The 12,507-nt window shown below is 41.0% G+C and overlaps 1 long non-coding RNA gene across 1 annotated transcript in view; it reads left to right on the plus strand.

Annotated features, from left to right (window-relative positions):
- LINC02267 (long intergenic non-protein coding RNA 2267) overlaps window positions 1-12,507 on the plus strand; it is a 507,713-nt gene that overhangs the window by 134,125 nt on the left and 361,081 nt on the right. The window contains exon 2 of the long non-coding RNA NR_147149.1: window positions 6,665-6,734. This is a non-coding gene — a long non-coding RNA (long intergenic non-protein coding RNA 2267). The remainder of the gene's footprint in view (window positions 1-6,664; window positions 6,735-12,507) is intronic.

Raw genomic sequence — 12,507 nt, forward strand, 5'->3', positions numbered from 1 at the left:
GCCAGCCTCATAGAATGCGATAGGGAGGAGTCCCTCCTCTTCAATTTTTGGAATAGTTTCAGTATTATTGATACCAGCTCTTCCTTATGCATCTGTTAGAATTTGGCTGTGAATTCATCTGGTCCTGGGCTTTTTCTGTTAGTAGGCTTTTTATTACTGATTCAATTTCTGAACTCATTATTGGTCTCTTCAGGGATTCAATCTCTTCCTAGTTCAATCTTGAGAGTTTGTGTGTTTCCAGGAATTTATTGATTTCTTCTGGGTTTTCTAGCTTGTGTGCAATAGAGGTGTTCACAATAGTCTCTGAGGATTATTATTATTATTATTTTTATTTCTGTGGAGTCAGTGGGAATGTACCCTAATATAGTTTGGCTCTGTGTCCTCACCCAAATCTCACTTCAGATTGTAATCTCCATAATCCCCATGTGTCAAGGGTGGGGCCAGGTGGAGGTAATTGGATCATGGGGCAGTTTTCCCCATGCTGTTCTCGCAATAGTGAGTTCTAACAAGTTCTGATGATTTTATAAGCATCTGACAATTCCCCTGCTTGCACTCACTTCATCCTGCCCTCTTGTAAAGAAGGTGCCTGCTTCTCCTTTGCCTTCTGCCATGATTGTAAGTTTCCTGAGGCCTCCCCAGCCATTCAGAACTATGAGTCAATTAAACCTCTTTCCTTTATAAATTACCTAGTCTTGAGCAGTTTTCTTATAGCAGCATGAAAATTGACTAATACACTCCTTTTATCAAATCTGATTGCATTTATTTGGGTCTTTTCTATCACTTTATTTTTTTAAACTTTTATTATAGGTTTGGGGGTACATGTGAAGGTTCATTTCATAGGTAAACTCATACCAGGAAGTTTTGCTGTATGGATTATTTCATCATCCAGGTAATAAACCCAGTACCCAATAGTTATCTTTTCTGCTCCTCTCCCTCCTTCCACCGTCCAACCTCCACCATCTAGCTTCCATTTATAAGTGAGAACATGAGGTATTTGGTTTTCTGTCCTTGAATTAGTTTGCTGAGGATAATAGCCTCCAGCTCCATCCCTGTTCCCATAAAAGACATGATCTTGTACTTTGTTTTTTTTGGAGACAGAGTCTTGCTCTGTCACCCAGGCTGAAGTGTAGTGGCATGACTTCGGCTCACTGCAACCTCTGCCTCCCAAGTTCCAGCAATTCTCCTGCCTCAGCCTCCCCAGTAGCTGGGATTACAGGTGCATGCCACCACCCCTGGCTAATTTTTTGTATTTTAGTACAGATGGGGTATCACCATGTTGCCCAGGCTGATCTTGAACTCCTGAGCTCAGGCAATCCACCCACCTAGGCCTCCCAAAGTGCTGGGATTACAGGCGTGAGCCACTGTGCCTGGCAAATCTTGTACTTTTTTATGGCTGTGTAGTATTCTATGCTGTATATGTACCACATTTTCTTCATCCAATCTGTCACTGATGAGCAATTAGGTTGATTCCATGTCTTTGCTATTGTGAATAGTGCTGCAACAAACATTGGCACGCATGTGTCTTTATAGTAAAATGATTTGTATTCTTTCAGGTGTATACCCAGTAATGGGATTGCTGGGGCAAATTTTAGATGTTTTTTAAGCTCTTTGAGGAATCACCATACTGCTTTCCACATGGTAGAACTAATTTATACTCCCACCAACAGTGTAAAAGTGTTTCTTTTTTTCTACAACCTTGCCAGCATCTGTTATTTTTTGACTTTTAATAATAGCTATTCTGACTGGTAAGACGTGGTACCTCATTGTGGTTTTGATCTGCATTTACTAATAATCAATGATACTGAGCTTTTTTTCGTATGCTTGTTTGGCCACAGGTATGTCTTCTTTTGAAAAGTGTCTGTTCATGTCCTTTGCCCACTTTTTAATGGGGTTGTTTTTCCCCTATAAATTTGTTTAAGTTCTTTATAAATGTTGGATATTAGACCTTTGTCAGAGACATAGTTTGCAAATAATTTCTCCCATTCTGTATGTTTTCAGTTTACACTGATGATAGTTTATTTTGCTGTGCAGGAGTGCTTAAGTATAATTAAATCCCACTTATCAATTTTTGTCTCTGTTGTGATTGTTTTTTGTGTCTTTGTCATAAAATCTTTGCTCGTTCCTTTGTCTAGGACAGTTATTGCCTAGGTTGTCTTCCAGGGTTTTTATAGGTTTGGGTTTCAAATTTAAGTCTTTAATCCATCTTGAGTTGATTTTTGTACATGGTGTAAAGAAGGTGTACAGCTTCAGCCTTCTGCATATGGCTGGCCAGTTATCCCAGCAACATTTATTGAATAGGGATACTTTTCCCAGTTGATTGTTTTTGTCAGCTTTGTTGAAGATCAGGTGGTTGTAGGTGTGTGGTCTTATTTTGTGGCTCTCTATTGGCTTCCATTGGTCCATGTGCCTGTATTTGTACCAATACCATTCTGCTTTGGTTACTGTAGCCCTGTAGTATAGTTTGAAGTTGGGTAACATGATGCCTCCAGCTTTGCTCTTTTTGCTTAGGATTGCTTTGACTATCCAGTTTCTTCTTTCATTCCATATGAATTTTAAAATAGTTTTTTTTCCTAGTTCTGCAAAGAATGTCATTGGTAGTTTGATAGAAATAGCATTGAATCTGTAAATTGCTTTGGGTATTGATATAGTTTGTCTGTGTCCCCATTCAAATCTCATCTTGAATTGTAGTGCCTATAATTCCTACATGATGTGGGAGGGAATTATCTCCTGGTTGGAGATAATTGAATCATGGGGGCAGTTTCCCCAATACTGTTCTCATGGTAGTGAATAAGTCTCACAAGACCTGATGGTTTTATAAGGGGAAACTCTTTTCACTTGATTCTCATTCTCTCTCTTGTCACCACCATGTAAGAGTGCCTTTTAACTTCTGCCATGATTGTGAGACCTCCCCGGCCACGTGGAACTATAACTCCATTAAACCTCTTTTTCTTTGTAAATTACCAAGTCTAGACTATGTCTTGATTATCAGCACATGAAAACTAACTAATACAGTAAATTGTTACCAGAACTGCGGTGCTGCTGAAAAGATACTCAAAAATATGGAAGTGACTTTGGAACTGGGTAACTGGCAGAGTTTGGAACAGTTTGGAGGGCTCAGAAGAAGACAGGAAAATGTAGGAAAGTTTGGAACTCCTTAGAGACTTGTTAAATGGCTTTGACCAAAATGCTGATAATGATATGAACAACAAAATCCAGGCTGAGATGGTCTCAGACGGAGATAAGGAACTTGTTGGAAACTGTAGCAGAGGGGACTCTTGTTATGTTTTTGCAAAGAGACTGGTGGCATTTTAACTCTGCCCTAGAGATTTGTGGAACTTTGAACTTGACAGAGATGATTTAGGGTATCTGGTGGAATAAGTGTCTAAGCAACAAAACATTCAAGAGGTGACTTGGGTGCTGTTAAAGCATTCAGTTTTAAAAGGGAAACAGAGCATAAAAGTTTGGAAAATTTGCAACCTGACAAAGTGATAGAAATGAAAATCCCATTTTCTGAGGAGAAATTCAAGTCAGCAGTAGAAATTTTCATAAGTAATGAAAAGCCGAAAATTTATCACCAAGTCAATGGAGAAAATGTCTCCAGGGCATGTCAGAGAGCTTTGTGGCAATCCTCTCATCACAGGCCCGGAGGTCTGGGAGGAAAAAATGGTTTGTGGTCTGGGCCCAGGGTTCCTCAGCTTTGTGCAGTCTAGGAACTTGGTGCCCTGTGTCCCAGCTGCTCCAACTGTGACTAAAAGGGGCCAAGGTACAGCTTGGGCAGTGGCTTCAAAGGCTGCAAGCCCCAAGCCGTGGTAGCTTCCATGTGGTGTTGAGCCTGTGGGTACACAAAAGTCAAGAATGGAGGTTGGGTCTCTTGAAGACAGCATATCATTGGGTCTTGCTTTTTATTCATCTTGCCACTGTGTGCCTTTTAAGTGGGGCATTTAGCCTATTTGCATTAAAGGTTAGTATTGATATATGTGAGTTTGATCCTATCATTATGTTGTTAATAGGTTATTATGTTGGTTTTTTTGTGGGGTTGTCTTACAGTGACACTAGTCTGTGTATTTACGTGTGTTTTTGTATTAGCTGATAGCAGTCTTTCCTTTCTATATTTAGTGCTCCATTCATGATCTCTTCTAAGGCACATCAAGTGGTAATGAAATCCCTCAAGATTTGCCCAGGTGAACAGTATCTTATTTCTCCTATGCTTAGGAAGCCTAGTTTGGCTGGATATAAAATTCTTGGTTGAAAACTTTTTTTCTTTAAGAGTGCTGAATATATGCTCTCAAACTCTTCTGGCTTGTAGGGCTTCTGTTGAGAGGTCTTCTGTTAGCCTGATGGTGTTCCTCTTGTAGTTGACCAGCCCTTTCTCTCTAGCTGCCTTTAACATTTTCTTCTTTCATTTGAACCTTGGACAATCTGACAATTATGTGTCTTGGGGATGGCATTCTTGTGTAGAATCTTGCAGGAGTTCTCTGTGTTTCCTGAATTGGCTGTTGACTTCTCTAGCAAGGTTATGGAAGCTTTTATAGACAATATTCTGAAATATGGTTGTTATTTTTTCTTTATTTTTCTGTGATTGTCTTATTTCAGAAAACCAGTCTTCAAGTTCTAAGATTCTTTCCTCAGCTAGGTTTATTCTGTTGTTAGTACTTGTGATTGCACTGTGAAATTCTTGTATTGTGTTATTCAGCTCTGTCAGACCCATAGAGTTCTTTTATATACTGAATATTTCATCCTTCAATTCCTGTATAGCTTTATTGTGATTCTTATATTTCTGGGATTGGGTTTTGCCATCCTCCTGAGCCTCAATGATCTTTGTTTCTAACCATATTCTGAATTCTATTTCATTCATTCCAGCCAGTTTAGCCTACTTAAGAATTCTTGTTGGAGAACTGCTCTGGTCATTTGGAGGGCATACAACATTCTGGCCATGTGAGTTAGTGGAGTTGTTATGTTGGGTCTTTCCCATCTTTGTGTGTGGGTACTCCTTTAACAGCAATGTATATTGAGTGCAGTCAATAGACATCTTTTCTGGATGCTTTAACTGGGCTGAGGCTTTGTGCAGGATCTTTATCTGGAGCTAACATTCTGTCTCTGGTTTCAGAGAGAGATATGTTGGTGTGATATTTTTGGTGTTGAAGTTTTGGTGTGATCCAGTAGGTGGCACTTAGGCTTATTGGTCAGTTGGTAGACTCTTGCTCAGTTGTGTGTCTCCTGTATGTTTCCTCACAGTTGCAGCTATGTTCTCTCTCAATGCTTTGAAAGTGTGGGTTCCTCTCCCTGTTGAGTGCTAGCTTTAAACTCCTGGGCTGCCCACTGCAGCTCTGGGGTGATTTCAGTGTTTATGCTCCTTCCCAAACTTGGAGGCAGCAGAGGAAGAGACTACCTTCATTGTAGTCGTGGTGCAAGGTCTTTTGCTTATCTCCTGGGGACTCCATCCCAGAGACATGTGGGTCAGCATTTGCTCAGTGCAGTCATCCCAGGATGGAAGGTTTGCGCTGCAGGCCCAAGGCAGGAATTTCCTGTCTGGTGATGAGCAATTGGGGGTGTGTGCAACCCATGGGAGACAAACTGGCCTCCTCTCCTTGGGTCAACTGCAGCTTGTTGGGGGTGTGGATAAATCACTTAGGGTTTTTGCTCCTTTGTTAGTCCACTAACAAAGGAGCAACTGTTAGTACAGTTCTGCTGTAGGAGAAGGGTCAGAGAAGCTTTCAGTTACCTCTGGGGGCTCTGTCCAGGGAGATGTTGAGTTGCTACTGGCTTGATAGCTCTCGTGGTGGCTGGAGGCTCTGGTTGGAAAAACCCACCCAGTGAAGAGGAACAGAATTGGGGACCTGCTTAAAACAGCAGTCTGGCCACATTTTCATAGGGCAGCTGTGCTGTGCTGGGGGACTACTTCCACCCCCCAGTTGTCTTGGACTCTCCAATGTCTGAAAGCTGGAACAGCTAAGTTGCCCAAACAGCAATTATGTCAGTGTGTTCCTCCCTCTATATCTTCATCCCAGGGAGGTTTCAAATCTCTGTTGACTAGAGAACACTGATGGTGGTGGCTGGAGGCTGTGGTTGGTAGATCCTGCCCAGTGAGGAGGAATGGGATTGGGGACCCTCTTCAAAAGGCAGTCTGACCACATTTTCATAGAGCAGCTGTGTTGTGCTTGGGGATCCTCTCTTCCCCTGGTTGGGCTCTAAAGCCCAAAGGCTGAAATGGCTAAGTTGCCCACACAGCAAAGATGATGACCAGCCCCTCCCACTGGGAGCTCCATCCCAGGGAGGTGCAATGGTGCTACCAGTGGCTGGCTGGAATTCCAAGCCAGGGGGTCTTATCCTGTGAGGTGCCATGGAAGTTGGGCCTGCAGACTGTCTTCTCAGCCCCCTGGATTCAGCCTCTTTCCTAGAATATGTACTGAGGTCTAACCTCTCACTTTGTCAAAGTTGCAGCTACTTTTGCTGGGAAGCATGGAGAGCCCCAGTCTCTTCATGTGCCTGAGCAGCTGCTCTGCTGAGACTCCACTTAGCTCCAAGTAGTATGTGTGGAGTCTGAAGGCCTTTGTGAAGTGGGTTTGTGAGGGGAATCTCCTGACCCAAGGGTTGCAAAGATCCATGGGAGCAGCATAGTTTTGCATATTCACTCACCGCTTCCTTGGCTTTGTATCACTCACAGGTGGCCCATTGTCCTGCCTTGCTTTTCTCCATTATCTCTGGGTCAAGTTGTTTCTTTGATAAATCCAAATGTAAGTACATAGATTTTTCAGTTGAAGATGCTATATTTACTCATTTTTTCCATTCCTTTCCATGAAAGCTACACACACTAGCTACTTCTACTCAACCATCTTGGGCACCTCACTTGTTTATTTATTTATTAGTCTAGCAAGCAGTATATCTGTCCTATAAATTCTTTCAAAAAATAAACTCCTCTATTCACTGATCTTTTGTGTGGTTTTTCACATCTCAATGTCTTTCAGTTCAACTCTAATTTTGGTTATTTCTTGTCTTCTGCTAGCCTGGGGTTGGCTTGCTCTTGTTTCTCTAGTTCCTTTAATTGTGATATTAGATTGTTAAGTTGAGATCTTTCTAACTTTTTTATTTGTACGCTTAATGCTATAAATTTCTCTCTTAACAATGCTTTGACTATGTCTCAGAGATTCTGATATGTTGTATCGTTGTTTTCATTAGTTTCAAAAAATTTCTGATTTCTGCCTTAATTTCATTATGTACCTAGAAGTCATTCAGGAGCAGATAGTTTAATTTCCATGTAATTGTATAGTTTTAAGTGACTTGTTTAGGATTGATTTCCATTTTTATTGCACTGTGATCTGAGAGTGTGGTTAGTAAGATTTTGGTTTTTTTGAATTTGCTGAGGATTGTTTTATGCCCAATTGTGTGGTTGATTTTAGAGTATGTGCCATGTACAGATGAGAAGAATGTATATTCTGTTGTTTTTGCATGGAGAGTTCTGTAGTTGCTTATTAGGTCCATTTGGTCAAGTGCAGAGATCAGGTCCTGAAAATCTTTGGTAGTTTTCAGCCTTGATGATCTGTCTAATACTGTCAATGGGGTGTTAAAGTCTCCCACTATTATGTGTGGGAGTTTAAATTTCTTCATAGTTTTCTAAGAACTTGCTTTATAAATCTGGGTGCTCCTATGTTCAGTGTATGTATATTTAGGATAGTTAGGTCCTCTCATTGACTTGAGCCCTTTACCATTATATAATTCTTTATCTTTTTTGATCTTTGTTTTCTTTTTCTTTCTTCTTCTTCTTTTTTTTTTTTTTTTTTTTTCTGATATGGAGCCTTGCTCTGTTGCCCAGGCTGGAGTGCAGGGGGGAAATCTCAGGTAACTGCAGCCTCTGTCTCCTAGGTTCAAACATTTCTCCTGCCTCAGCCTCCTGAGTAGCTGGGACTACAGGTGCACCCCACCATGCCTAGCTAATTTTTGTATTTTTAGTAGAGATGGGGTTTTGCCCTGTTGTCCCAGCTGGTCTTGAACTCCTGACCTCAGGTGATCTGCCTCCCTCAGCCTCCCAAAGTGCAAGGATTACAGGCATGAACCATCACACTCAGCTTAAAGTCTGTGTTTTCTGAAATTAGAATAACACCCCTGCTGTTTCCTGTTTCCATTTGATTGGTAAATATTTTTTCATCCGTTTACTTTGACGCTAGGGGAGCCATTGCATGTGAGATGGGTCTCCTGAAGACAGCATACCATTTTATTCATCAACTTGCCACTCTGTACCTTATAATTGGATGGTTTAGTCCATTTACATTTAAGGTTAGCATTGATAGGTGTGGATTTCATCCTGTAATTATGCCGTTAGCTGGTTCTTATACAGACTTGTTTGTGTGGGTGCTTAATAGTGTCACTGGTCTATGTAATTAAGGATGATTTTGTAGTGGCCAGACATGGTCTTTCTTTTTCATTTTTAGCATTCCCTTCAGGACCTTTCGTAGGGCAGGCCTAGTGGTAACAAATATCCTCAGAATTTGCTTGTGTGAAAAGGATCTTATTTCTCCTTCACTTATGAAGCTTAGTTTGGCTGGATATGAAATCATCAGTTGAAAATTTTTTTCTTTAAGAATGCCAAGAATAGGCCCCCAGTATCTTTTGGCTTATAGGGTTTCTGCTAACAGGTCTGCTGTTAGTTTGATGGTGTTCCCTAAGTATGCTATCTGCCCCATCTCTCTAGCAGCATGTAACATTTTTTCTTTCATTTTGACCTTAGAGAATCTGATGACTATGTGTCTTGGGGATGGTTTTCTTGTGCAGTATTTCACAAGGGTTCTCTGCATTTCCTGAATTTGAAAGTTGGCCTTTCTAGAGAGGTTGGGGAAATGTTTATGGATGATATGCTAAAATGTTTTCCAAGGTGCTTGATTTCTTTCCCTCTCTTTCAGGAAGTCCAATGAGCTGTAGATTTGGTCTCTTTACATAATCCCATATTTCTCAGAGGTTTTGCTTATTATTCTTTATTGTTTTTTTCTTTATTTTTGTGTGACCGAGTTACTTCAGAGAGTCAGTCTTAAGCTCTGAGATTCTTTTCTCAGCTTGGTCAAATTTGTTGTTAATACGTGAAATTGCATTATGAAATTCTTCTACTGTATTTTTCAGCTCTATAAGATAAGTTTGATTCTTTCTTATAATGGTCATTTCATCTATCACCTCCCATATTGCTTTATTTTAATCCTTAGGGTTCTTGGAATGAGTTTTGACTATCTCCTGTATGTCGATGATCTTCATTACTATCTACATTCTGTATTCTATTTCTGGCATTTTTAGCCATTTGAGACTGGTTAAGAACCATTGTTGAGGAACTAATGTGGTGATCTGGCGTTAAGAAGCCACCCTGGGTTTCTGAATTGTCATAGTTCTTGTGCTGATTCTTTCTCATTTGTGTGGGCTGATTTTCCTTTAATCTCTGAAGTTACTATTCTTTGGATGGATTTTTTTCTTTTTTTCTTCTTGGATGCCCTTGAGGGTATAACTGTGGTATAAGGTGGGTTTGATTAACTGGCTTGGATTCTATTTCACTCCTAGGTCTTGGAGGAGCCCCCTCTGATTTCTGTCTCTGTGCCTATTTTGTTGTTGTTGTTGTTTTTGGGTGCTTTGGTCCATGGGGCACCTTCAGGCAAGTGCCTCAGTTGTCAGACAAGCTGAATCCTTCTCAGGTTGGCTGTTCCATGTGCTTCATGAGGAAACACAGATTTGTGCCTGCCCACAGAGTTCAGGGAGAAGCAGCACTGCTGGATTGGAAGCTCTAATGGGCGTGATTCATCTGGCTACAAGAGGCTGGGGTGGGTGGAGAAGTCCATTCTGCCATCCAGGTGTTTGCAGGGCAACAGAAGGCTGTGCCCCTCAGCAAATTCAGGAAGAAGTAGGTCTGCTGGGCTGGAAGCTCTAACAGGCATGGCTTGCCTAGCTGCCAGAAATGGGGGTGGCTGGGGATGCCTGCCTTGCCTTCTGGGTGTTTCTCAGGGCAACAGGAAGCTGCATCCTTTAGCTGAGTTTACACAGAAGCAGGACTGCTCAGCTAGAAGGTCTAGCAGGTGTTGCCTGCCTGGCAGTCAATTACAGGAGTGAATGCGGTCACATGCTCTGCTATCCAGGTATTTTCTGGGACAACAGGATGCTATGTCCGCAGGCTAACTTTTCACAAAAGTGGGGACCACTGGACCGAAAGCTCTAACATCTATTTCCCACCTGACTACCAGTGACATAGGCAGGTGGGATTGTGAACTCTGCCATCCCAGTGTTGCCCAGAACAACAGGAGACTGTGCCCTCCAGCTGAGTTTACATAGAAACAGCAAGTTTGGCTAGAAGCTCTAGCAAGTGTTGCCCACGTGGCTACCAGTGGTGAGGGTGGGTGGAGTGGCCAGCCAAGTTCAGGCCAAGTGGGACCACTGGGCCAGAAGCTGGCACTGACTCCGGTCTGGCAAGAGGCGATGGGGCAATCTTACTACTCCCAGGCTCCACAACTGCAGCCTCTATTTGGACTATGGCACTGGTCTGCTCTGGGGCCCCAGGCTTGTAGAGGTCCCCTTGGACTCAAGAGGCAAAACATCTGGGTGGCTCTCTGTCTCAGTCTAGAAATGCAGTGGTGAGGTGTGGGAGTTGGGGGCAGAGAGATTCTCCTGTTTCCAGTCTTGCACAGGTTTCTGTTGAGAGCATGAATCCCCCTAGTGGTTCTCACTCACTCACCCTTTCCCATGTTGGAGAGGTTCTCCCGGCTCCACACTAAGCCCAGACACGCTGATGCCCAGCTTAGATTCTCTCTGCTCTCTGTGGTCCCCTGCTGCTGTGATGTATCCCAGTATGGTTTCTCGGATGATTGGCCTGGAGAGTCAGTGTTCCTCTGCAGGCCCTTTTGTTTCCTCTCTGGAAGAGCAATACACAGGATCTGCTTCTGGTTTGCCATATTGGCCCCTCCCATAAATTCTATCTTTTTCAAACTACATCTTTGTAGTCTTTCAAACTACATCTATGTAATTAAATCCTTCCAGACTTCATCTGTGAAATGGAGATAATGGCTAGGATTTAATAAAATCAAACATTTAGAACTATAACATAAAGCAGAGAAGAATGTCAGTAGAAAATAAATAAGAAACAACACAAGCTTTGGAACCTGACACACTCAGACCAAGTCCTGCCACTGCTACCCACGACATAAACTTACTATTGTTGTGTAACTTCTCTGTGCTTTAGTTTCCACATTTTGAAAATGTGGATTATGATGATGTTAACAGTACATATCTCATTGGATAGTTGAGATAATGCCTATAAATCACTTAGCATGATGGCTGCTACACAGTTAGCACTGGAAAAATTATATTGCCATGATCCATGGCAGGTTCTAGAGTATATGTGTGCATAAGAAACACCCCTACAGTGGAAATATAGTTACTAATCCTTTTGAATGGTTAATTATAGCCACTATTAAATATTAATTGTCAAGTGTTTGCTACACCAAATATCACCAATACAATTCCTTGGAAAGACAAATCTGTGTTTATTGCGTACTCTAGAAAGGGAGAACACCATTGTAAAATATGCTTATTCGCATCTCAGAAAGAAGAGGAAAAAATTGGGATACTTTTTAAGATATTTAAATGTAGTTCAAGACAGGTCATTCAATGAAAGATGGCTTTGTTAAGATTGGGCAAGAATCGTGATATAATGATTTAGGGATTGACAGACATAGGAAGATAGAAATTTTTGAGGTGAGCGTTCAGAGTCTTGATGTATAATTGGCATTTGATAATTTGTATTAAATATAGCATGTTTCAAGAAGTTCTTGGAATGTACAATACACTTATTTGCAACTTCTGTTGGGCAACAGTAAAGTTATGTTGATAAAATCAGTGGAATAGTAAGATCCTGATAATGTGAACAGTGAGCTGTGTGAATGATTTCAACTCTCAAATTTAGTATCTGGCAGTAAAGAGGTCCTAATTTACTGAGCTATACTTCCCACAACTGCTTTTATCAAGGTATCATTAATTTTTCAAATCTTGATGACATCCTCAGTTTCCTCTGTATTATTATTGAAAAACTTGCCATTTAAAACAATGGGCACACATGTGCTTTTAACCTCCACAATGTACCAAAAATAAATTTGTCAAACTAATATATTTTATAAAATGAATATTAAATAAAAATGGTCATTTCACTCTTTATGACATTTTAAAATGGATTAAATCATATCAATTTTTTTCATCTACATTCTCATAATTACTCTTCACCTCGTTGGGGTCCCTATTTACAAATAATCTTCAAGTAGAGTCCTGTTCTGCCTCTTCTTGATTTTCTAAACTTCAGAACTAACTGCCATTTAGATACCCACAGAAGCAATAGCCTGCTCATCCATCTATTAGGTTCAGCTGTGAATGCTATAATCAAAGAGGTGTTTATAAAATAATAAAAACACAAAGCTGGTATTTTCTTTTCCATTTTGAAATATACAGGCCTTGTCCATTATTGAGTCTACAAAACCAAACATATTTTCTTGCAGA

The sequence above is a fragment of the Homo sapiens genome, chromosome 4, assembly GCF_000001405.40.
Source record: "Homo sapiens chromosome 4, GRCh38.p14 Primary Assembly".
Classification (NCBI taxonomy): domain Eukaryota; kingdom Metazoa; phylum Chordata; class Mammalia; order Primates; family Hominidae; genus Homo; species Homo sapiens.